Raw genomic sequence first — 26,968 nt, forward strand, 5'->3', positions numbered from 1 at the left:
GATGCCTGTACTTATCTAGAAAATTCAAATAATCGGAAAGCGTTGTTTAAAGAGAAAGGAAACAAAAAACAAGAAGTATGAAACAGTTTTTCATCCCTTCCATATTTCCCCTAGACCACAGGCAATCATTCTTTACTACTTTTGTACTTTAAATATTAATCTCCAGAGCTCAAAATACCATGCTTCTTTTTCTGTCTTGATTCTTTGCTAAAATAGCAAAGAACAGTTTTCCTTCTCCTTTCAGAGTTCCTTTTTCTTCAGGGTTGCTTTACTCTTTTTGATTTCTTGGTTTTTTGTTTGTTTTGTTTTGTTTTGTTTTGTTTTGTTTTGTTTTGGAGACAGGGTCTCACTCTGTTGCCCAGGCTGGAGTGCCGTGGCAGGATCATAGCTCACTGCCATCTTGACCTCCTGAGCTCAAGCGATCCTCCCTCCTCAGCCTCCCAAGTAGCTGGGACTACAGGTGCATGCCACTATGCCCAGCTGATTATTCTATTGTTATTATTTTTAGTAGCAATGAGGTCTTGCTATGTTGCCCAGGTTGATCTCACACTACTGAGCTCAAAGCTGTCCTCCTGCCTTGGACTGCCAACGTGTGTTTGCTTGTTTTATTTTTTGTTTGGTGTCATTTACGTTGAAGGGTGTCCTCGTGTGTGGTGGTCTTTTTTGCTTGTCCATGTCAGAAAGTGGGAACTAAGCAGTGGAGCCTGCGGCTGGTTGCCGGGGCTGATCCCTGTAGGGTGATCTGCTGGGTTGTTTCATTCCTGAAGCCTTCATGCCGGCTGCTTTAGGCATTTCTTCTTGCCTTGGTCAAATTCTTCAGAGAAGGAGCATCCGGTCTCCTGTGAGGAGGGTCTTGATCTGCCGTCATCACCCTGGAGCACGGCTGAGGAAGAGACTGTGCATCCCAGTGTTCAGTGCACCCTTGCATGTGCTCAGTATGGACGCTCATTTCCAGCCAGGCCGGAGACTTTCTCTTTGCTGTCTGCGGAGAAGAATCCAACATCAGTGAGGGCGGGTATCTGTTCTGTGCGGGAAACGCGCAGGGGAGAAGAAAAGACACACACACACAATACCTTTAAGGGTAAACAGCCTTTATCCCAAGTATATGGCAATACAGATACAGTAAGCAAATCATATAATAAGCAAATGATACAATACGCAAATTACAATGGGAAGGGGAGAAGGGAAAAGATGCATGTATTTACACTCACCAGCCTATGGAGGATTCACCCCCAGACCGGGAAGGAGCAGCCTGGGTTCCAGAGTCGGCCACTCGTCCGTGCACGGCCGAGGAGAGGTCTCAGGAAGCTTCGGCACAGTCTGGGACCCGAGCTCTTTTTGTAACGAGTTGTTTGGCATGAGGCCCAGTCACGAGGGCCCCTTGCGACTTGGCTCAAGGAACACAAAAAGGTCAACTCGTTTTTGCAATTGTCTATCGTTTTTCAATAACTGACGTATAGGAATACATCAAAATAGAGATTTCTCTGAAACAGCGCTAGATGAACGCCTCAAGGTGCTCACACAACCTGTTCCGGGACTTGGTGACCATTGTTTGTGTCCACTTTCAATTGAGTTCAAATTTAATATTTACCTTTTCCTCCACAGTATCCAGGTGCCTGGAACTGGGGAGGGGGGCAAACTCTGTGGAATAAATGTGATTGCTGTTTGACTCCCCTTCCCTCCCCACTGGTATAGGATTTAACTTGCTGGGACCCCCCACTGTTTGCCAACTTCCGTTTCTTGTTTGTTTTTTTTTATTACATCCTCTCCTTTTCCCTTTGTCTCTTGGGTTTATGACTTACAAACAGAATCAATATTTGCATTTTAGTGGTGTTTGGGAAGGAGTGGGGGGGTACAATTTGACATCTTTACTAAATGCTGATTAACCGATCTTTTTTACAATTTCATTTGAATAATTTAATGTTATGTAGACCACAGTGTAATGGGCTACAAAATGTAAGCTTTTAATTTATTTCATCCCATATGATTACTATCAATTTCTTGATTCTTCCATTATGATGCTTTCTCAGCTATTAGTGTCGTCTAACTGCCAGTAAAACAGACAAAAATTCAGCGCCAAGGGTTCAAGAAGACAAAATCAACTCCTTTTCTTTCTTTGTTTTTTCCCTAGTAGGTATAGTTTGTTTGTAAATCAAGCTTTTATGGAAATGAAGGGGAAAAACCTGCTAACATTCTTTTTTCTGCCTTAACCTCCTAGGATGAATGATTCCTTGTACCCTCAATGTTTTGACCCTCAAAAAAAAATCCATTTTAACCAGGACATCTACATAACTTTGCTCCCTGAAGTCCTATGGAGCAGAGGCAAAAGGTCAACATATTTTCATAATGTACATTTTTTCTTACGAAAACATATTTCTTGAATGGATTTTATGCCAAGTAATAATTAGACCTAATCCCTAGGTCTTCATATGTTAACCCTGCACCATGATTAATGATTCTGTAAAAAATAAGTAATGTTTGCATTTTCTATACACCATCAACCCAGCAGAGGAATAAGAGAATGCTTTCAACATTTAGTTAACCCTACGAGTGAGAGAATTATTTGACTTTTAAAATTAAAATAACTACTGCACATCTTGATTCTCATCACATTTTTCTCTTTATTACTGTTTTTATCCTGTTACCTGTCACTCGTATCACAGGAAATGATGCATCCTTTTTTTTTTTTTTTTTTTTTTGGCTTTTCAAAAATTTTAATAGCTTATTCCCTGTTAAAGCTAAGAAATACTTTCCAGTATACCCTACCTCCCAAAGTATCAGGGATTTTTTGTTTTTTAATCCAAGAGAGATTTATGAGATCATAAAACACAATCTTTATGTTCTTTGCTTCCCTTTTCCCAAAATCTAAAATTATTCAGAAATATTTAACCTTTTCTTGATTTGTAGCCATTACAGCTAATTGGAGGATCCTGCCATAAAATGATGGCCCTCTGTCATGTGTTGCCTACTTGTTTAATTTAGATTTGTGGTTTCTTGAAAGCCAACTGAAAGTGTTTGACCCCTCATAGGAAAATCCTGTTGTGAATGAGAAGGATTCCACAGATCACATACCAGAGCGGTTTTGCCTCAGCTGCTCTCAACTTTGTAATCTTGTGAAGAAGCTGACAAGCTTGGGTGAGACAATGTTTTGCATGATGCATCCTTTATAAGAAATAACAATTTGCTACAATTAGCAAGATTCATATTAAACGGTTAAAGAAGTATATGCTTTTTATTGACAAAATTGAAAATTATATAGGGAAAATCTTTCTTTCTTTCTCCCTCCCTCCTTTCCTCCCTTCCTCCCTCTTTCTCTTTCCCTTTCTTTTTTCCTTCCTTCATATACATGTTAGCATTTCCTTTATGAACAAAGAGGAAGAAGAGAGAAATGTCCTCAGAGGGGAAATATGTTCAGTGATCTGTATTTAATTCACTCGTGTATATTATGAACCAGCTACTATTTTAATTTCATATTCTGTATTTGAAATTCCTAATCACACTTTGTTTCACTCCATCTGCTTTGCCCTTCCCCTAAAGCTTTATTTTCCTTTACTGAGTCACCTTTTATAATTTACTGAGAACTCACAGCTTTAATTTCAAGATGATTACTCTCTACTTCTCTGATGACAAGAGTTAAGAGACGCTGATGTAATCGCAAAGGAGAGGAATTCCACCTACCTGCAGGAGTTGGCCTAGCAATTCTCAGAAGGTAGGAACCAGAAGGGGCAGCCTCTGAGAACTCCACCTTCAGGGCACTGGCACAGATCCTGACACTGGGGAGGGTCAGTGTGTTACAGGAAAGGGGTCCTGATCCAGACCCCCAGAGAGGGTTCCTGGATCTCGCACAGGAAAGAATTCAGGGAGAGTCCATAGAGAAAAGTGAAAGCAATTTTATCAGGAAAGAAAAGGAAAAAAAGAATGGCCACTCTGCAGACAGAGGAGCCCTGAGGGCTGCTAAATGCCCATTTTTATGGTATTTCTTGATGATATGTTAAACAAGAGTTGGATTATTCATGCCTCCCCTTTTTAGACCATATAGGGTAACATCCTGACGTTGCCATGGCATTTGTAAACTATCATGGCGCTGGTGGGAGTGTAGCAGTGAGGACAACCGGAGGTCATGCTCATCGCCATCTTGGTTTTGGTGGGTTTCCGCTGGCCTCTTTACTGCAACCTGTTTCATCAGCAAAGTTTGTGACCTGTATCTTGTGACGACCTCCTATCTCATCCTGTGACTTAGAATGGCTTAGCCTCCTGGGAATGCAGCCTAGTAGGTCTCAGCCTCATTTTACCCAGTTCCTGTTTAAGATGGAGTTGCTCAGGTTCAAATGTCTTTGACAAATGCACTCCCCACGTGGATGCTCAGAGTCTCATGGAGAGAGTTCGCAGCCCTGTTCACTCTTCTAGGTTTTTGGAGTGGTACAAAATGATATAGAAAATTAGGTGGTATTTTACAATCTGCAGTACAGTGAAGGGGAAACTGTTCTACTCTTTACCTGCATTAAGTTTATAATTTAATAGCACCTTTCTGAATTTCAACTTTGGTATTTAACTCAACCAGGCTGAAAAGTTTCTTCCAAAGCTTCCAAATAGTACATTAATAGTCCTGGTTTTAGAAAGCTGTTTAGCGACTTCAAATTCTGGATAGCATCTCTCCGCACAGCTCTGAATAAAGTTACCAATACCTCCTTATTGGAAATCTATTTCTGTAAATGAGACCTTCAGTGACCAAAATCAATCTTTTCATTTTGAGGTATGCTCTGAGAAGACATTAGACCTGTTGTGCCACCCTTCCAAATGCATGCCCTCTGGGCCCTGGTGAGCTTCAGAAACATCAGGAATGACCTTTGGTGTCAAGAACTGATGACTGGATTAACCCTTCTTGGTGTGGTGCTTTTTATCCTTGCAGTTATGTCTCCTAAAATCTATCCTACAAATGAACTTGAGGTCATGGGTTAGTTCTGCTCACCCCTTCTCTGGATCTTATTTCTGATTTACTGAGTATCCCCTACTGAACTGGTGACTCCTGCTCAATATCTTCATACATCTGAGTCACTGACCACATCAGATGGAGGAGATAGAAATCCTGGGCTAAACAACAAACAACTCGTTGTTGTTGTTGAGACAGGGTCTTGCTCTGTTGCCCAGGCTGGAGTGCAGTGGTGCAATCATGATTCACTTCAGCCTCTACCTCCCTGGCTTAAGGAATCCTCCTGCCTCAGCCTCCTGAATAGCTGGGACTGAAGGCACACACCACCATGCCTGGCTATATTTTTTCTTTTATTTTTTGGTAGAGATGGGGTCTTCCTATGTTACCTAGGCTGGTCTTGAACTCCTGGGCTCAAGGGATCTTCCTACCTCAGCCTTCCAAAGTGCTGAGAATACAGGTGTGAGACACTGAGACTGGCCCTGAATAACTTTTTTTTTTTTTTTTTGAGACTGAGTCTCACTCTGTTGCCCATGCTGGAGTGCAATGGCACGATCTTAGCTCACTGCAACCTCCGCCTCCTGGATTCAAGCAATTCCCTGCCTCAGCCTCCTGAATAGCTGGGATTACAGGTACCCACCACCACACCTGGCTAATTTTTGTATTTTAGTAGATATAGGGTTTCACCATCTTGGCCTGAATAACTTCTATGTGTAATGCTTGGCAACAAATTAAGCAAAACAGATATCAGATCACAGCTCAGAAAACTCATGCATCTGACGTTGCTAACAACATGTGATTCTAATATACACCAAAAATGGATGTTACTGGAAAGGTCCTGATCCAGTACCCAAGAGAAGGTTCTTGGATCTCACGCAAGAAAGAATTCGGGGTGAGTCCATAGAGTAAAGCGAAAGCAAGTTTCCTAGGAAAGTAAATAAATGAAAAATGGCTATTTCAGAGACAGAGCAGCCCCAGGGGCTGCTGGTTGCCTCTTTTTAATGGTTATTTCTTGATTACATGCTAAACAAGGAGTGGATTATTCATGAATTTTCCCGAGAAAGGGGTAGGCAATTCCTGGAACTGAGAGTTCCTCACCTTTTTATTCCATATAGGGTCACTTCCTGATGTTGCCATTGCATTTGTAAACTGTCATAGCTCAGGTGGGAGTGTCTTTTAGCATGCTAATGCATTCTAATTAGCATATAATGAGTAGTGAGGACCACCAGAGCTCACCCTTGTTGCTATCTTGGTTTTGGTGGGATTTGACTGGCTTCTTTACAGCATCCTTTTATCAGCAAAGTCTTTGTGACCTGTATCTTGTGCCGACCTGTGATCTCATCCTGTGACTTAGAATGCCTTAACCTCCTGGGAATGCAGCCCAGTAGGTCTCAGCCTTATTTTACCCAGCCCCTATTCAACATGGGAGTTGCACTGCTTCAAACGCCTCTGACACATATATTCTTTAAGCAACAAAACTTTAGTACAACCATATTTTGCAGTATCCTTCCAAAATGTGTTGTGCTTTCTTGTCCTTTAAGCAGAATATGAGGAATATATGATAATGTGTCTGAGTGCTTGTGTGACTGTGTGGGTGTCTGTGTGTGAGTGACTGTGTGTGTCTGTGTCTGTGTGTATGTGTCTGTGTGTGTGACTGTGTGTGTCTTGTGTCTGTCTATGTGTGTCTGTGTGTCTGTGTGTATGTCTGTGGGTATGTGACTGTGTGTGTGTGAGACTGTGTGTGTGTGTCCGTGTGTGTGATTGTGTATGCGCATGTGTGTATGTGACTGTGTGTATCCATGTGTGTCCATGTGTGTGTCTCTGTGTGACTGTGTCTGTGTGTATGTGTGTGCATCTGAGTCTGTGTGCATGTACCTGTGTGTGTTGGTATGTGGGACTCTGTGTCTGTATGTGTGACTGTGTGTGACTGTGTGTGCATGTGTGTGAGGCTGTGTGTCTGTGTGTGTCTGTGTGTTTCACTGTGTGTGTGTGTGTGTGTGTGTGTGTGTGTGCATCTGACTGAAAATCATCACTATGAGCATTGGCTGTTGGTCGGGTACCAGCATTGGATGCAGTGAGGCCTCTGAAGCTGCCTAACTAATCCCATTTGTTGCTTTATATACCGCTCTCAGACAAGCATGTTTCTGGGGTTTTTCTCTTAGTTTTTTAATGTCTAATCTTATTGCTGCATGCTGTCACTTTTTATTGCTCTCAGTGTGCTTTTTCCTAACAGGTTTCACATGTGCAAATTTGCTTTTTGTAAACAACCTTTGAGGAAGAAATCTTTGTTTTCTATGCTGTTAAGTTCCATGAGGGAAGGACCTCATTTCTCTTGGTCTCCTTGCACCTGGCACACAGGGAGGCTGAAAGGAGAGCTCATTAAATATTCACCAAGGGAATAATCAATTCTATTTCAATTGAACATAAAGGAAGAATAAGTGTCTCAGAATCCAAATGGCTTAACATTGCCTAATACAGAAACTTGGTGGGTCTACATTGGCTTCTAACAGGCTTAAAAATCTCTTGGTTCTTGGTTATGTCATTGGAAGATGTACTTTCTTGGCAGAAATTCTCTTATTTTTTCCCCAAGACCTCCTTGGCCACGTCTTGTTGGAAATCCTCCTTTTCCCTCTCCATGTGGTTCTAGAGAGCTCTTTTGTGATTACCCTTTGAGATATCTTCATGCAGGGATTTCATCTGAATTTTGCTGTGTACTCAGTTTGGGGGAGAGACCCTTCAAGAAATATGACCACTCATTGCCTTTTGCATGTTTTTTTCTACTACACTTGACTTTAATTACCTTACTCTTATTTAAATTCTTTGAGTGCTCTCCTGTCTCATTTGCAGCTGTTTACACCCATTTAAATCTCTTCACATCAACAAAGCCACTTATTTTATCCCGGTAATTTACTGGTCCAGATGTTAGTTACTGCCTGTAGGATTTTTTTGCCAGTTAATTCAAGATCTACCATTTTTCTCTGTCTACCCTGTGCATCATTTCTTCTATAAAAAAAAGTAATGAGCCCACATTATTAGGGCACAATTAATAAGGTAATTTTTTCAAACCCCTTTCATTTTATTGGGGAATTTTCCTTTCCTGCTACTCAGGCCATTGTAGAGAACAGACTGAGGGAATTTACATCCTGAATTTGGTAATGGAACATGAATGGTAATTCCTACTCTTAAAAGGAAAACTGTGGTCGGGCGCGGTGGCTCACGCCTGTAATCCCAGCACTTTGGGAGGCCGAGGCAGGCGGATCACGAGGTCAGGAGATTGAGACCATCCTGGGTAACACGGTGACTACTAAAAATACAAAAGAATTAGCCGGGCGTGGTGGCATGCGCCTGTAGTCCCAGCTACTCGGGAGGCTGAGGCACCACTTGAACCAGTGGGTGGAGGTTGCAGTGAGCTGAGATCACACCACTGCACTCCAGCCTGGGCTACAGAGTGAGAGTCTGTTAAAAAAAAAAAAAAAGGAAAATTGTCTTTTAAGTGTTTTCTTTAATTCAATATGATGATTTATTTTGCTCAGTTTAATTTCTCAATTTCAGAAAATAATCTCCTTAAAGCATTGTTAGATCAAAGATGATCACAGTTGCATGCCCTCTGTTATTTGTCCCTTTAAAAATATTTAGTAAACATCTCAATATATTTTATTTGACAATTTGCTTTACTAGCAATTGCTATTGATGATACAGTCCTGTTACTGGAATGGGGTCACGATCTGGACCCCAAGAGAGGGTTCTTGGATCTCATGCCAGAAAGAATTGAGAGGAGTCCATAAAGTCAAAGCAAGTTTATTAGGAAAGCAAAGAAATAAAGAATGGGTGCTCCATAGGCAGAGCAGCAGCATGGGCTGTTCCACTGAGCATACTTATCTGTTGATTACATGCTAAGCACGGTGTGGATCATTCATGAGTTTTCCAGGAAAGGTGTGGGCAGTTCCTGGAACTGAAGGTTCCTCCCCCTTTTAGACTATATAGGGCAACTTCCTGAGGTTGCCATGGCATCTGTAAACTGTCATGGTGCTGGTGGAAGTGTTTCTTAGCGTGCTAATGTAATATAATTAGTGTATAATGAGCAGTGAGAACAGCCAGAGGTCTGTTTTGTCGCCATCTTGATTTTGGTGGGACTTGGCCAGCTTCTTCACTGCAGACTGTTTTATCAGCAAGGTCTTTATGACCTGTATCTTGTGCTGTCCTCCTATCTCATCCTGTGACTTAGAATGCCTAACTGCCTGGGAATGCACCCGAGAAAGCCTCAGTCTTTTTTTACCCAGGACCTATTCAAGATGGAGTGGCACTGGTTCAAACACCTCTGACAGTTCCTCAAAAGCACTCACCATTCATCTTGTGAGAAGCTCACTTCAAAAAATAGGGAATGTCAAATCATCCACAGAGTTATTATTTTAAAATATTATTTCTTCCATCAATTACAGTTTTCTAAACTCTTGTTAAAGGAAATAAATTTGCATTGGGTTGTGAATTATATGTTTGCTTCCGTTTGCTTTATTGTCTTAATTTTTGAGAATAAAGGTGACAGATGACAGATAAGGAAGGAGGTTCTTAAAAATATCTTTCTTCTGCATCTCATTCTTTGTAAACTGACATTTTTAATGTCAGTCTTAGCGAAGAAAGACTTACCCTAAGATGGAAATAATTAAGCAGGATTTTTTCACGTATTTGACAGGAAAAGTGGCAGAAAGAGACATGCATGTCAGGAGTGGGTGATTGGGGGCACTGAAGGCAAGGAAAGACAAGCTTAAAATGCTCTTTACCTCCAGAGAGGATCACTTAGCTCTGAGTGAGGTTAGAAAAGGGAATAATGGGCTTATTCATGTTAAGAGAGAAGATATTTTATGTCAGACTTCACTGCTTGAGTTTTTATTTGCACTTTCTTCTCTTTTTAATTGGCTCCCCCCCGTTACATTTCTTTTCTGATTTTGAGCTTCTGACATCATGTGCACACATGCAGTATCTATCCTGGATGTGATAAATGTTCTGAAGAAAAATATATGTGCAAAGGTCATAAAATTTGTCCTGACTCAGATACTTAGGAAATTTGTAAATGTGGGCAAGCTATAGGGCCTCAGTTTTCATGCCTGGAAAGTGACCATGATCCCTCCGTGGTGTACTTACAACATTGCAGGGATATTGGGAGAGTCAAATGAGTTATTGAATGTGAGAAAATATATCTGGATACCATATAAATAGGAGATGAATATCATATAAATGGGAGGGAGGATTGTTACATAGCTTTATCCTCTAAACTGTAAATTCTGGGAGAATGCTCTTACGAATGTGCTCAGAAAATCACTGGGGGGTCTCAGGCAATCATTCAAGGGGTCTAGAATATCACAACATTTTATATAATAATACTAAGATGCTGGTGCCTTTTTCACTCAAAAATCTCTTAGATGTGTACAGGGCAGTTTTCTACTGATGTGTGGCGATGTCACTGCTGTGAAGACTCATGGGGTGTGTGCCTGTGTGTTCTTGTGTTTCTTAAAATGTTCCAAGACTGAAAAATTAGAAAAAAAATGTGTACATTTTCAGAAAATAATTGTTTCTTTTTAGTGCTTCTCCTGACTCTCTACTATTTATCTTCAGCTTTATTTGCGGAATGTTGGAACCTCATTATCATTCAATAAGACATTATTTTGAAGACACAGAGTTTTCCTTGAGCCTGTGAAAAAACACAAGAGATACCCTATTATCTAGCTTTGAAATGATAACTTGCTTTTCAAAAACTGACACAGTTTTATTTTTTCCAAATCTGCAATTTTACCATTCAATGGGATTTTATCCTAAAATATCAGAATATTATTTAAAATATGGTTTTCTTTGTTTAAAGATGGATAGAACTTCAAAAGTGAGACCTGAAGACTGGCTTTCTCAAGCTAAAACAGCACTATCTACATAAAAATGCTGAAAAATTAAAAATGACTGCTGAAATAGTTCTCTATCTCATGAAAGGGAGAAATCTGCTCAAAAAAATCTAGAGGCTAGAAAATAGAGGAGAAAGGGAGGGAGAAGGTGACATTTGTTAAAGGACTTCGAGACCAGCCTGGCCAACATAGTGAAGCCCCGTCTTTGCTAAAAATACAAAAATTAGCCAGGTATGGTGGTGAGCACCTATAATCCCAGCTACTCAGGAAGCTGAGGCAGGAGAATTGCTTGAACCCAGGAGGCGGAGGCTCTAGTGAGCTGAGATCACGCCACTGCATTCTCACTTGGGTGACAGATTGAGACTCCATCTCAAAAAAAAAAAGGGATACAAAATTATAGCTAGCTTGGAGAAATAAGTTCTACTGTTCTGTATCACTGCAGCATGAATATAGTTAACAATAAGGTATTATACAGTTTCCCTGGATCAGCTGGGCTTGGCGGGGGTTGCCCCCTTTGAGAAGGGAGGCACAGGGCTTGGGTGAGGGGCGGAAGCCATTAGAAGTGCCTAGCTCTTTTGGAAACTGAGGGCCCAATGACTAACTACGTTTACATGACTTGAGTGTTGAACCTTGATTAACATCTGTACGCCTTTCCTAGTTCTAACCCTGAGCCCCGGGGAAGCAGGAAAGTGTGGCCGGCCTCTTGCACAGCTTTTTCTCCTAGTAAACTACTGAAATCAAACCGCATTTCACATGTGTTTACACATGTTGCTCAAGCTTGTTATGTCATTCTCCCAGTCCTTAAAGAATAGACATTTAATACAACAGCTTTACCTTAAAAAAATATTATGTAGTTTCAAATAGCTAGAAGGAGGATATTAAACATTCCCAACAAAATGAGTAAGTGTTTGAGAAAATGGACATGCTGGTCATTGTGATCTGATCACTCTGTGTTGTGTATATATAGAAACATTCTTAGATACCCCATTAAAATGTATAATTATTATTTGTCAATTAAAAAAATAAAATTTTCAATCTAGGTGGAATTTAAATGGTAAATAAAATAGGAAAAAATATATATTCCCCTTAACTTAATGTGTTAATTTCTTGTATCGTATTTAAGGAACATCTCAAATAATAATATGGTGTAAGATAGACTTCAGTATTGTTTTGTGATTAATCTTTTCAAGTTGAAAGAAGGCATTGATTATTTTTGGTGAAGTTATTACTGCAATAACTTTTGCACCAATATGCACACTAATATATGCTCATTAAAGTCACGACTTCTTTGTTGCTGTTTTTCATAATAGAAGGGAAAAACAAACATGATGCTTTGAAGGGTAAATTATGATGTGGTATCGACTAAAGAGGTGTACACAGTGGGCAAGGGAAGGTCAGAGCTCTGCAGGGTTGGCGTGGCTGGGTTCCTCCCAGGTGAAACTCTAGAAAACAAATGACAGAACCTCCACTTTCCCATGATACAGTATCCCACTAACAGAAAGACTTAGCTGTCAACATGAAGACTGGGTTAATATCTCATAGGCGGCATCATATGTTTGCCTTGAAAATGGATGAGGATGAGCTGCGGAACCAGGAGTGATGGCAGGACCAGCCTTTAGAAAGTTCCTTCCACTCGGCCGGGCGCGGTGGCTCACGCCTGTAATCTCAGCACTTTGGGAGGCCGAGGCAGGCAGATCATCTGAAGTCAGGAGTTCAAGACCAGCCTGGCCAATATGGTGAAATACATACTGGCCACCTCTACTAAAAATACAAAAAAAAAGCCGGGCTTGGTGGCAGGCACCTGTAATCCCAGCTACTCAGGAGGCTGAGGCAGGGGAATCGCTTGAACCCAGGAGGCGGAGGTTGCAGTGAGCCAAGATCGCGCCATTGTTGCCCAGTCTGGGCAACGAGAGAGAAACTCCATCTCAAAAAAAAAGAGAAAGTTCCTTCCACTCTTTGATGAGTATTGGCCAAAAAGAGTCCCACCAAAACTGTAACCGAAGGAGGCGTTAAGCCTCCAGAAAAATCTCAAGGAACCTGTCGTGCAAGCAACAGGCATAGCTATTGGATTGGGCTCTAAAGGAAAGGGTGGAGATATTCAACCAGTTAGTGTAAAAGTTGGAGATAAAGTTCTTCTCCCAGAATACAGAGGCATCAAAGTCAGTTTAGATGACAAGGATTCTTTCTTCTTTAGAGATAATAACATTCTTGGAAAGTATTTAGACTGAAATAAATCACTGTTGAAATGACATCCGCACGAAGCTGCCCACTCCGCTGAAGTTCTGAAATCTCTCATCAGTTAAATAATTTCCATCTCCCTCTTTTATAATAAACTCATAATTCATAAAAAGTGAAAGAATTAAAAAGATAAAAATGGATGAGTCCGTAAGTCCACCGGGGCTTGCTATTTTTATCTGGCATGAGCACTAAGTAGCCATCAAAGATTGTCTTTTATGTGATGAAAGTGCAGTGGTACTCAAATACAGAAATGTTGGAAAACGTTGTACTCATGGTTCATTCTGGAACTAGTGTGTCGATGCTTGCCCTGAAGGAGGAAAATGGCAGGGGGTGATACCGCAGGTGCCTTAGCATCGAGCAAGGCAGTGGGATGGAAAGGCGCTGGTGGTTACTGTGAGATTCCCTGACATCACAACTAAACCTTCTGATAAAGGGAAGATCATCAGTTTTATTAAATCTCAGCACTTGAGCATACATCTCTAAGTATTTCGTGTCAGGACATAAGAAGATCGTATAAAGCATAAAGCACTTCTACTGCATATTGGAGTATAATGTTTATCATAAAAAAATAATTCTGTGGCCGGGCGCGGTGGCTCATGCCTGTAATCCCAGCACTTTGGGAGGCCAAGGCGGGCAGATCACGAGGTCAGGAGATCGAGACCATCCTGGCTAACAGGGTGAAACCCCGTCTCTACTAAAAATAAAAAAAATAAAAAAATTAGCCGGGTGTGGTGGCGGACGCCTGTAGTCCCAGCTACTCGGGAGGCTGAGGCAGGAGAATGGCGTGAACCCAAGAGGCGGAGCTTGCAGTGAGCCGAGATCGCACCACTGCACTCCAGCCTGGAGACAGAGGAAGACTCCGTCTCAAAAAAAAAAAAAAAAAAAAAAAAAAGAATTATGTTATTGTTTGAGTTCTTAGCTAAAAAAAAAAAAACGTTCATGGAAGTCCTTTTTTTGTATGAAAGACAAACTGACAAACTGTGAGTTATTCAGATTTTGGAATTTGGCAGACATTTTCTCAAATATGAATCAAGTGAGCTGCTTGTCACTTCAAGGGCGGGGGGAAACTGATGACATTTGATACCCAAGATAAAATCTGAACTTTCAAGTAACAATAATAATTTTTGAAACTTTGTATCTATCATCACAAGCTTAATATGTTTTCAATACTCAAGACTGCTAATGAGATCACTGAGACATGAATAAATATGATTTTAAAAAATATATTGTGAAAAAGAAAAGATCTGAAGAAACAGTGAACCAAACTCTTTCAAACGATTAATGCATCATGTTACAAAATCCAACAGAGCTAAAAGAACTATTCGATACGCAAGAGATACCAATGGATTTTAATATAGCAGAGTAGGAAATGCATATTGATATAGTTTCAAATCCATAATACACCTAATAATTTTTAAATGCAACGTGTTGATTTTGGGTATAGTATCAAAGAAGAATAGCTACATTTATCTGAATAGGTTTTTTGAATTCTATTTTTCCATCTGAGGAGGGCTTTATATTTTTAATATACTTCAATCAAAACAAGCTGTCATAACACAGTAAATGAAGAAGCAGATCTGAGAATTCAGCTGTCTTTTCTAAGACATTGAACATATTTGCAAAAATGTAAAATCCCCATACATTTTGGTTTGCAGAGTAAAGTCATTTTCATAAAAAAAATTTGTGATTTGTGTTAACCTACGATATATTTATATTGTCTTAAATGAATGCATGAATATTTTTTAAAAGTTTAGTTTCAATGATTAATATAGTAAATGCAAATACACATATAATACACAGAAACAAAAGACCTTCAGGGTCATCAATAAATTTTAAGATTATAAGGTGACTCTGAAACCAAGAAGATTAATACATGATATGCTCCAAAAATGATAAACTACATTTTATCAACAGCTTTTGCAGACTATCTAGCATAGAGTAGAATTTTTATAACTATTTATTGAGTGAACGAAAGAAATGTATATCTTCAGGCCTATGTCACACAAACTATGCAAACGTCTGCAGTGCAGCATTCTCTCTCTCTCACTTAAGGTAATGCTGACTGCTGTAACAAACAAATCCAAAGATACAGAATAGCTCAAACTTGATAGAAGTTTATTTCTTTTATGTGTATGACTTCTAATAACAAAGCAATTGTTCTTGATCACATATGGCCCTCCTCTAAGTGGTCATGAGAAACTGAGCCCTTTGTGTTTTGTGATTCCACAACCTTCTACACGTGGCTTCCACAGTGACCATGTTTGTCTGAGTCAAGCCCGGAGAAAGAGAATGATTAACTAGAGAAGATAAAGCTGTATTTGAAGCATTCTGCTTCAAGGTGATACATGCCATTTCTGCTTATATTATTTTGCTAAAGTGGCCTAGGACACCACGGCTAAGGGACAACACTAGATGAGGGAATATGAGAATCCAGCTTTAGTGGGCAGGTAAATTTAGAGAGTTGAGAGAGACAGTATATAAATGAATTGAAATATCTAGATTTTGGTGTATGTTTAAAATACTCTGTTTCATGTGCTGTGCAGTTGATGGTGGGAATTGTGTGTGGAGTGTTGAGCTAAAAGTCTTACTTCTTTTTTTTGTAAAGTTTAAAAAAATGTAATTAGCCAGTATGTCTGTATTTTGGTACAAAATTTCTCCCCTGCCTTTTTTATCTTCACTGACATCTTTTCAAGTACATCTATTTCTTCAGTCCGTGAACCTATGGAGCACTCACCAAAAATATGATCACAGGATGTTAATTAACTTTGCGGGGGAATAATTGCTGTACGGATTATTGGAGAAGAAAAGTTATCGAGTTTTGAAAGCATGGATTCCACATACACTTAAGAGGACCCAGGCAAATTTTAGTACTCGATAGATAAATGTTTTATTTAGTTTTTGATTTTGAAATTTATGATGCATTTAATGAGATTCTTAGCACACAGATTAAAAACAGTTTGTTCTAATTTAAACAGAAGATAATTTATTGGATGCACACTAGGGACTCATTGAATTACCAGGTAGCTGGATTTTGACCCATCAATGGGCAATCCACGGCAGTCCCGAAAGGCAGGGAGCAGGAGCCTCCCCAGCAGCCTCTTGTCAGGAGCCATCTGGAAAAATGAAAGGGACCTTGAGAGAACGGAACTTGGAACGTCATCAAGCAATTTGTCTTTCCGCTCAGAAAGAGGAACCTTGTTGGTTTAGTTGGGGATTTTTACCCAGTTTTTAAACACTGGAGAGTCGGAGCTGTCTTAAATTCTCTCTCACACACAAATAAATTGGGGTGTTCTTAAGAAGAGAAAGAGGTACTAAAAAAGACAAGAAGAAATAAAAACAGAAGTATCTACTCTGTCTTGCATTATCTTATCTTATCCTTAATTCTAAGCACATAGTTCTCTTGCCCATGAATATATCAAATCCAAATTATGTTGGCCTCCCTCTGACAGCTCATTGATGCTATTGGCAGTGCACACCATTAGGAAACGTATTTCTACATCTCAATGGTACTTCAAAGCACGGCAAAACAATTATGTTGTCGATATCATTAACTTACAATTGTTATGTCATCATGACCTAAATTCAAGCCAAATAGATTGAGTCAATTGCTAGAAGGAGCTCCAGGTTTCTATTGCATTCATATTTTCAATGGTGATATATTTGAACTTACTAAATGCCCCAAAATCTCAGTTTCATGTTTTATTCTCTTGGTATTCTCATTTCCAATGTGAATATTCTGTGAGACTAACTTACCCTAGATAAAGAGGAAGAATGGTAGGGATAAACATTTTCAATACATTCAACCAGGAAAACTTTTCCTTTCTTTCCCCCAACTCCTCTACATTTAGCTGAAAGTCTGAGCTAGAAAAATGTGTGTAACATTTAATAGGTTTGATTTTATAATAAAGGACAAAGGCTGATAAACGTCCTATTGTTTGTACTTCTCATTATTAGGAATTGTTTAACTATACATTAGCATTCCTATCCAGACAATAAATGAATTCTTAATTTCTCACTTTGGAAAAAATAGATGGTTTCCTCCTGTCTAATTAAACTGTCCAGTCATCTTAAGCCTCTGGTAAAACTGAGTGTGGGCTCATCTATATTCCTGTAGTGCAAGAGCCATACTGATTGTTTGCATAGTTTGTACCAAATGGGCTCCAGGTTTAACATGATTCGTATTTCCCAGACTCTTTGTCGAATGTGGACTGCACTCATTCTACATGTCAGTTTACGTCTTTAATGTGCACAGTGAGATTTTGAGGTTTAACATGTGAATGGCATATACAATCTGATCACATCAAAATTATTTAAGATGCTTTTAGGTTTCTGTGTGTGTATGCCTGTGTAAACACATATGTATACATACATACACAAACATATTATATATTAATTAAAATATAATATATATGTTGACTACATGTATATATATTGAATCTGGCTCTTCAATCTCATGTTCATCTATAGTCTATTTCTTCCCCCATAATTCATTTATCATTACCTGGATCTTGGAAAATTAAATTGACCTCCTTTATGCCCCTCTAACAAAGATAACTAACTCCAATATACTTTACATTTGACTCCAGATTTTTAGTAGGCCTTTAGCAGATTCATTTTGGATTGACTAGTTGTTATCATAATTGAGTAGTATAATTAAATATTATTTAACATGGCGAAAAGAATGAGAGATGTTATTTCTATGAAAACTTCCTTGGATACATTGGGAAGTCTAGATAAATATAAATTGCTGAAAGGAAAGACTGTAAAATTGGGAGTAAAGAAAACAGCATTCAATTTTAGAAACAAATGATAAAAGCGTCCATGGACTCTATCCTGGTTGCTTCTCGAGTGTCTTTAGGTTTTGCTCCAGTTTACTTAAAGCTGATTATTACAGCAGATGAGTGATAGATATATTTTATGCAAGAAAGAAGATGGAGAACTCCAATCAGCATGCCAGGCTAGAGAAAAATTTCCGTGCCTTGTCATAGTTTGGGTCCCTGATATAAAACCTGAGTTAAAATCTTGGTGGAGGTTGGTGATTTGGGAGGTGTTTCCAGAAGCGTCACTGAGAGTGAGTTTAAGGAGAGAAAAGAGCAGGATACAGAGGGGAAGAGGCCATGTGGTTGTCTTTTGTGCTTATGAACAGTGGGAAACTGGGATTTTTGGTGGCTGTATGGAACACATATCAGAATTTCTCAACCAAGGAATGGATGGCTGGAAGCATTTATCCACCAACACCCATTCCCCATTCATTTAGGAATGCCTCTTCCCAGGCATTATCTCCCCCATACTTCCAGATGGCACCTGTGCACAGGCTGCAGGACTTTGCTGTGGCGTCCTCACGTGGGATGTTGGCAATGTGATAAGGGCTCCATGAGTGATTGCTACAGCCTTACAGGAAAGGGGAGGGAAATTGGTAACGTTTACATAGTTTAAAATCAAATAAAATGCCTGAGATAAATATGTATCACTTTTTGTGAGTCCTCACTTTAATTAACATTCATGCGTATAGTCTGAATAGGAGGGTCTTCCCTTATAAACAAGTTGTATGCAGGTTTGCAAAAGCTTGAGAACATGGTCCATCATGTGTTGAGACTTGGGACTCACTGCTGAACATGTGCTCTTTCCTTCAGTCAATAGAAGCTGCATGCTCTTCTCAACGCCGTGTGTTTCCTACATCCTTGTCTTTGCTAAGTCCCCTACACCTGGAACTTCCATATGAGCCCTCACATGCTGGTAAAGCTTTCTAACTTCCCCAAGGTCCTATCCAACATCACCTCCCGAAGTCTTCCCTGCAGGACACCAGTGTCTGTCTCCATTCAAACCCTTGGAACACTGTGCTCATGTGTTTCTCGTGGTACTGAGAACATTCTGCCTCCATCCCCTTATGCCCATGTATCCTCTGTGGACCATGAAGTTCTCATCAAAGAGGCCCACATTTTACTTGTTATTGCTTTCCTATGGTTGGTGGTGACCCCAGGATGCTGAATATATGTGCAATCTTCTATTAAATCTATCGTAGCTTTCAAGAAATTCAGGCTGACAAAACGTCATAGTCCTTATGCAATATCAGAAGAAAAATAAACCCCAAAATATAACTTTATAGTAATTTCTGAGCGGAAGTTCATATATCGTATGATTAACCATTTTAAAGTGAAAGACTTAGTGGCATTTATATATTCATAATATTGTGAAACTACCCTTTCTATCTAGTTCCAAAACAGTTTCGTTATTCCAAAGTAAACCATTTACCCATTAAGTAATTTATTTCAATTCCTCCCACGCTCCAACTCTTAAAAACCTCCATCTGCATTCTGCCTCTATGGATTTATCTACCTGGATGTTTGATATAAATAGAATTGTACATTATGTTACCATTTGTTTCTGGCTTCCTCCACTCAGTATCATCTTTTCAAGGTTTACCCATGTTGTTATGTATTACAATATCTCACTCCTTTTCAAGGCTCAGTAATATTCCAATATATGGATATATCACAATGTGCTTATTCATTCATCCACTGATGGACATTTGGGTTGTTTTCAGGTTTCTTTCTATTATTGCTGCTATAAGTATAAAGCACATGCACCTACTTAAGGACTTGTTTTCAATTCCTCTGGGTATACAACTAGGAGTAGAGTTACTGGATTATATGTTAATTGTATGTTTATATGTAAAAGCTAAACCTACGAAAGTTTTGGAAGGAAGCATAACTAAATCTTCATGATCTGAGAATAGGCAGTGGTTTTAAGACTTGACACCGAAAACATAAGAAACCAATAAATAAACAAATTGGACTTAATCAAAAAAACTTTTCTGTATCAAAAAAAAAAAAAACAAAAAATAAAAACAGGCCAGGCGCGGTGGCTCAAACCTGTAATCCCAGCACTTTGGGAGGCCAAGGCAGGCGATCATGAGGTCAGGAGATTGAGACCATCCTGGCTAACACGGTGAAACACCATCTGTACTAAACAAAATACAAAAAATTAGCCAGGCATGGTGGCGGGCGCCTGTGGTTCCAGCTACTCGGGAGGCTGAGGCAGGAGAATGGCGTGAACCCAGGAGGCGGAGTCTGCAGTGAGCCGAGATCATGCCACTGCACTCCAGGGCGACAAAGCAAGACTCCATCTCAAATAAATAAATAAATAAATAATAAAATAAAATAAAAATCAAAAAGGTGAAAAGATAAGCTACAGAATATTTGCAGGGTTTATATCAGATAAGGTCTACTATCCAGAATATGGAAATAACTCTTATAAATTAAAATTAAAAATATCAGTTACCCAATTAAAAGTGTCAATGACTTGAATAAATATGTATTCAAATAAAATATACAAATGGCCAATAAGCACATAAAAAGAAGTTCAATATTATCAATCATTAGGGAAATCCAAGTCAAAACCACAAGAGATACCACTTCACAGTTACTAAGATAGTTATAAAAATAAATAAATGAATGAATAAACAAATAAATAACACTTGTTAATGAGAATGTTAGAAATTAGAACCTTATATTTTGCTCGTTTTACTGTATACCGGCCTAGCAACTGTGGAGAAGAGTTTGTCAGTTCCTCAAATGTTAAAATAGAATTATATGTACATACCATCGTATTAGGTTGGTGCAAAAGGAATTGCAGTTTTTACCATTAAAAGCAATGGTAAAATCTTTCAGTCAAAATGAAAGCTTGGTGTGTTTATCTTCAAATTACGCAATAGGATTTTTTTTTGTAGCTTTCTGTGACTCTGATTTACACCCATTATTATTTTACCATTACTAAAAATAATGGTAAAAAGCCACAATTACTTTTGCACTAACCTAATATTTCTTGCTATATACCCAAGAGAAGTGAAAACGTATGTAAACTTGTCTATGAATATTCACGGAAGCATTATTCAGAATAGTCAAAAGTGGAAACAAGCCAACTGTCTGTCAACTAAAGAATGGATAAGCCAAATGTTGTACATCCATAGAATGGAATATTACTAAGCCATGAAAAAGAAATGAAGTTCATGAAGGACATACTACGTGAATGAACTTTGGAAATATTACACTCAGTGAAAGAAATCAGTTGAGGCTGGGTGCAGTGTTGGCTCACACCTGTAATCCCAGCACTTTGGGAGGCCAAGGCAGGTGGATCATGAGGTTAAGAGATCGAGACCATCCTGGCTAACATGGTGAAATCCTGTCTCTACTAAAAATACAAAAAAAAATTAGATGGGCATGGTGGCACATGCCTGTAATCCCAGCTACTTGGGAGGCTGAGGCAGGAGAATTGCTTGAACCCAGGAGGCAGAGGTTGCAGTGAGCCGAGATTGCGCCATTGCACTCCAGCTTGGGCAACAGAGCGAGACTCCATCTCAAAAAAAAAAAAAAAAAAAAAGAAAAGAAAAAAAGAAATCAGTCTAATGACCACATGTATCAGTTTCCTTTTGTAATATATTATCACAAATGTCATGGTTTAAACAACACAAAATTATTATCTTTCATTTCTAGAATTCAGAATTCAGTTTTAAGGAGCTAAAATCAAACATTCTGTCAGGATCAGTTATTTTTCAAGGACCCCGAGGCAGACTCTGTGTCTTGCCTCTCCCAGTTTCCAGAGACTGTGGGCAATCCCAGGCTTGTGGTCACATTGCTCTAATTCCTGCTTCCTTCATCCCAGCTTCTTCCTCTTTGACTTTGACCCTCTTGCCTCCCTTTTATAAGGTCCCTTATGATTACATAGGATGTGCCTGGGTGATCTAGGATCATCTCCCAAGCTCAAGATACTTAAATCACAGCTACAAAATCCCTTCTTGCTATGTAAAGTAATATGTATTTACAAATTCCAGAGATTCAGCTGTGGGCATCTCTGGGGTCCATTATTCTTCTATCACATTACACATTATACTATTCTTTTCATTTTTTTTTTGTTTTTTGTTTTTTTGAGACAAGTTCTCGCTTTGCCACCAGGCTGGAGTGCAGCAGCAGGATCATGGCTCACCACAACCTCCACTTCCTGGGCTCAAGTGATCCTCCCACCTCTGCCTCCTGAGTAGCTGGGACTACAGGTGTTCACCATCACAACTGGCTAATTTTTTAATTTTTTTTGGTAGAGACATGGCCTTACTATATTGCCCAGAATGGTCTCAAGCTCCTGGGCTCAAGATACCCTCCTGCCTCAGCCTCCCATAATACTTGGATTACATGCGTGAGCCATCACACCTGGCCTATGATTCTATGTATATGAAAAGTCCAGAATGGGTAAGTCCAGAGGCAGAATGCAACTTAGTGGTTGCCAGGGCCTGGGAGGAGGGAGTAATGGGCAGTGATTGATAATGGTTACATGATTTCTTTTCTGAGCAATAAAAATGTTCTAAAATTGATTGTGGTGATGGTTGCATGAGTCTGTGAATATACTTACAAACACTGAATTGTGAATTGTGTAGTATGTTAATTATATTTCAATAAAGCTGTCTAAATATATATATGCAAACATTATGTTCTGATTTTGATCAGAATGTTTGTTTTCCACTTCTGCAATCATGCGAATTGCTCATTTAGTTTAGTGTTGGGTAATAATATGTATAAAAGTTTGGATGTATTTTAAGTAGATAATTACAATATGATGCTGATTCATCTAAAATACTTTTAAAGCATAATATGAATGATAAGCTGCTATTTTTAATTCTATAAGCCCATATTACAAGTTGGCACTAAAATCTATATCCAGGAAGAGTAAGGTGCTAGCACCTTTAAGCACCTTTAAATGATTCTAAAAAAGTTTTCTCATTCAGAGATAATCAGCAAGGTTGCTGCAATAAAGCCAACCTTTAATAATAATAGTAATTATTATAACAGTATCATTATTAATAACAGTATTGTTTGAATAATTTTATATTATTTTACTAATAACAGTAGTCACCACTTTTTTTTTTTTTTGAGACGGAGTCTTGCTTTGTCACCCAGGCTAGAGTGCAGTAGAGTGATCTCGGCTCACTGCAACCTTCGCCTCCAGAGTTCAAGCGATTCTCCTGCCTCAGAGCCTCCTGAGTAGCTGGGATTACAGGCATGCACCACCACGCCCAGCTAAGTTTTATATTTTTAGTAGAGATGGAGTTTCACCACATTTGCCAGGCTGGTCTCAGACTCCTGACCTCAAGTGATCGGCCCACCTTGGCCTCCCGAAGTGCTGGGATTACAGGTGTGAGCCACTGCACCTGGCCAAGTAGTCACCATTAATTGAACAATATCTACGTTCAATCCAAAACTTAGTGCTAACTACTTTACATATATTATCTAATTGATCCACCCAACTGTCCTAGGAAATAGATTCTATAATTAATCCCAAATTACAGAAAATGAAATGGAGACTTGTGGAATGTAACTTACTCAAGATCACAAGGGGCAGCCCCAGGGGTGAAATTTAGGCTTCCCTGATTCTGAAGCAATGCTCTCCATCTCTAAGGCAATGTTGCACAGGCCCTCTCATGAGGTGTGTAGATGTGGCTCAGAGGCCTGGACAGCCAGTTTGCTTCCCCCTACATCCAAGGGAGCCTGGGAGGAAGGTTTTGGCTTTGTCTCCAAGTGAAGCTTTCTCACCGTAACAAATCCACTGGGATCCTGGAAAAAAAAAAGACTGACACTTATTAAACAGCTTTAAAACTCACGTTCTATTAGCCAACTGCAAGATCTGCACTGTGTTGTGAACTCACATTTTCACTGTAGCCGTGCTGTTGTGACTGGCAATCTTATGGTGCAGTATTTTCATATTATGAAAAGCATCCATTTGTAAAATGTAGACACTAAATACATCAGTTTCCCTCATCTTGTGTTTGCACTTCCCCTTGAATAGCAACTTTGACTTCTTAGGTGTATGGTAGTCTCAGTTCTGTGAATGTAAATTATGACAGATGTCAGTTAAAGTAAAAGTCCCCGTGGAGTGGGGTGAATCTGGAAACACAGTGTGCTTGTTCATCCCAATAAGATCCATAGTTATGGTCATACACAAATACACACACCAAGGAGAACTCACTGAGCCTGGAGCCCTTGTTGGTCTCATCCCCTGAAAAAAAGGTTCACTTTCCATCCTGAGGCAAGGCTGAGCTCAGGAAAATCTACTTGTCCCCATCAGAGAGTGGGAAAGCAGCACACACCTCTGTCCACACAGGTGAGCCAAGAGCACAGGACACTCTCCAGTGAACCGGCGTCGGAGTGGCTGAGGGCTGGACTCTCCACGCTGTGGAATTGCACGGGGATGTCACACACTGTGGGACAGGTACAGGCTCAGCTAGAGCGCCCTCATGGCCCCCAAGTTTACATCCCCAAGATGTTTATGGTCCCAAGAAACATCTGCCAGACACCAGCCCACAAGCACAGCTCACAATAACCCTCAGCCAATGGCAGAGATGACTAATCCTGCCCCGTGATTTCATTGAACATTATAATATCTATAACTCAAATATCAATATACCTTGTGTGCTCCACTTTTATTAGAAAGAGGCCAGTGTCTCTAAAGGAAATGCCAGCTCTTCCAAAATAAGTAAAATATTGACCAGGGCAGCCTTCAAATGCAAGCATTTAGCCCGGTTAAAAGAGAACTCATTAAAACATTGACTTGAGTGGTGGTACTACTTTTATGTTTGTAGAAAGGATATTATTTCTAGGCTCTAAATAATTCATTGAACAGAATATACAATACCTTCTATTCATGAAAATTATTATAAATTTTAGTGCTATTTGATTCAACAGCACATTAAAGCGTTTGCTGTCAATTACCATGTAGCTCTCAATTTCTAAATAACAATGCTCATTTCCCTGAACTCTAACCTAGTGTTTCATAAACTTCACATTTTCACAATCAGCATTCCGTGTTTCAAAGATAGATATTCACTTTATATCTAATGTTTCCCAAAGGAAAAAAAAATAGTTTACATTATCTGAGACTTAAATTTGTGTTTGTGTGTTGTTGTTTTTTTAAAACTAATGAGAAGGTCAAATACTTTAATGATATCCTCATATCTCTTTTAATTTATATTTTAAAATTCAGGGCCTCAATCTTGCTCAGGATGCAGTGTAGTGGCACGATCATAACTTGATGCAGCCTGGAACTCCTAGTCTCCAGTGATCCTCCCACCTCAACCTCCTGAGTAGCCAGGACTGCAGATATACACCACTATACCCAGCTATTTGTTTAATTTCTTTTTTGTAGATACTAGGGTGTGGCTTCAAATGCCTTTAAGAAAGTTCAGTCTTCTCGGCCGGGCGCGGTGACTCACGCCTGTAATCCCAGCACTTTGGGTCGCCGAGGCGGGCGGATCACGAGGTCAGGAGATCGAGACCATCCTGGCTAACACGGTGAAACCCCGTCCCTACTAAAAATACAAAAAATTAGCCGGGCGTGGTGGCGGGCGCCTGTAGTCCCAGCTACTCGGGAGGCTGAGGCGGGAGAAGGGCGTGAACCCGGGAGGCGGAGCTTGCAGTGAGCCGAGATCGCGCCACTGCACTCCAGCCTGGGCGACGGAGCGAGACTCCGTCTCAGAAAAAAAAAAAAAAAAAAGAGAAGAAAGTTCAGTCTGCTCTAGTGAAGGTTATGTGCAACCTTTCTCAGAGTTGAAAACATCTTGAATGCTACTGTCTGCCTGGCAAATAGCTTGAATAATCATTGAGATAAAAGCAAAAGACTACAACTCGATACAAACTATTTGCCCCAAAGTTACACCCAGAAACTCAAAGCATTAAAACAAATCCCCAGTGTTTCTACTTTACGTACGTGGAGACATTATATAATTTTAAACTTTTGATGAAAGCACTATAATTTTAAAGCATATACCACAAAAAGTCATAACAATCAAACTGAAAGATTGATGTGTTTATTTTCAAATTAAATAATAGGATTTTTTTTGTAGCTTTCTGTGACTCTGATTTACATTTCTCTTGTTTCACTAAACTTGGATTTTCTTCCTCCATTGAGTGTCTTTCATTAAAAGTGTTCTTATCAATAGCACTAGGTTAGAGCTGAGGGAAATTTGCAGTGTCATAATCTGTAATTATAGGGAATTAAACTTCTTTGGCATTCAAACAAAACTTGTCATTGACAAAGTCAAATACCTGTCACAATTTTAACCAGCATTAATTGTGACTTACAGGTTGTTTGGAAGAACATAACACAAAAGTAGCAACTGGGGCTCTTTCCACAGATGGAGTAAATTTATGACACATTCGGTATTGACCAATTATTTATAAAGTCTATTAAATTTGTCAGTGCCGCTGGTAGGAAAAGATTTATTAAAACAACTAATGTAAAACGCAATGAAATAGCTTAAGTCTCCTTATGAAATATTAATATCCATGAAATCTGGTAATCATAAGCCTGTATTTGCAATTTTGTTTGTGGATACTCTTAATTCAAGTGGTTGGTTGATAGGGGTTTAAGCTCTCATGACCAGGAGCACCCAAAGCACAAAATGAAAAGAGCTTCTGAGAATAATAAACCTCAAATTCAGAATAAGGATTCTCTCATAGCAAAATAGCACAGTTTGGGAAGAGAGCTCAATAGGTTTGAACTCTACTTGCCCTATTACTAAAATCATTTTGGCCTGTCAGTGTTTCTACTTATTCTCATTCCTCAAAAGGGATTGTATAAAGGACTCTTGCTGGCTTAGACAAACACGGGTAATAAGGACACCCATTTTCCAAAATGAGGTGATAGGCAACCACTTGCAAAGATCGTTAGTGAAAATTATGAGAGCATAGAAAGGTTGATAGAAGAGTCCAAGTGTTTACACATTTCTTTAGAAAGTCATGTGTGTTCGTCAGTTCGAGTGTTACCCTACCTCGGGGTAGCTTGGTGGGTTCTTTCCTCATAATCAGCAAAGTGGAGGATGCAGTTTTCTCATGATGTCATCAGCTAGAGGATGACACTGAGATGAGAATTC

The 26,968-nt window shown here is 39.4% G+C and overlaps 1 long non-coding RNA gene and 1 pseudogene across 1 annotated transcript in view, besides 1 other annotated feature; one reads left to right on the forward strand and one right to left on the reverse strand.

Moving 5' to 3' along the window:
• Window positions 3,094-4,293: an enhancer, noted in NCBI's record as "BRD4-independent group 4 enhancer chr12:127386923-127388122 (GRCh37/hg19 assembly coordinates)". NCBI's record gives its function as "activates an origin of replication core promoter dependent on BRD2, P300/CBP, MED14 and CDK7 cofactors, and independent of BRD4, by STARR-seq in HCT116 cells {active_cell/tissue: HCT116}" and the evidence as "EXISTENCE:reporter gene assay evidence [ECO:0000049][PMID:35650434]".
• On the forward strand, window positions 12,753-13,162 carry HSPE1P20 (heat shock protein family E (Hsp10) member 1 pseudogene 20; annotated as a pseudogene).
• LINC02405 (long intergenic non-protein coding RNA 2405) overlaps window positions 15,944-26,968 on the reverse strand; it is a 145,171-nt gene continuing 134,146 nt past the window's right edge. The window contains exons 5-7 of the long non-coding RNA NR_104646.1: window positions 23,747-23,922; window positions 23,424-23,676; window positions 15,944-16,166 (exon numbers count right to left, since the gene is read on the reverse strand). This is a non-coding gene — a long non-coding RNA (long intergenic non-protein coding RNA 2405). The remainder of the gene's footprint in view (window positions 16,167-23,423; window positions 23,677-23,746; window positions 23,923-26,968) is intronic.

This window comes from Homo sapiens, chromosome 12 (assembly GCF_000001405.40).
Source record: "Homo sapiens chromosome 12, GRCh38.p14 Primary Assembly".
Lineage (NCBI taxonomy): Eukaryota > Metazoa > Chordata > Mammalia > Primates > Hominidae > Homo > Homo sapiens.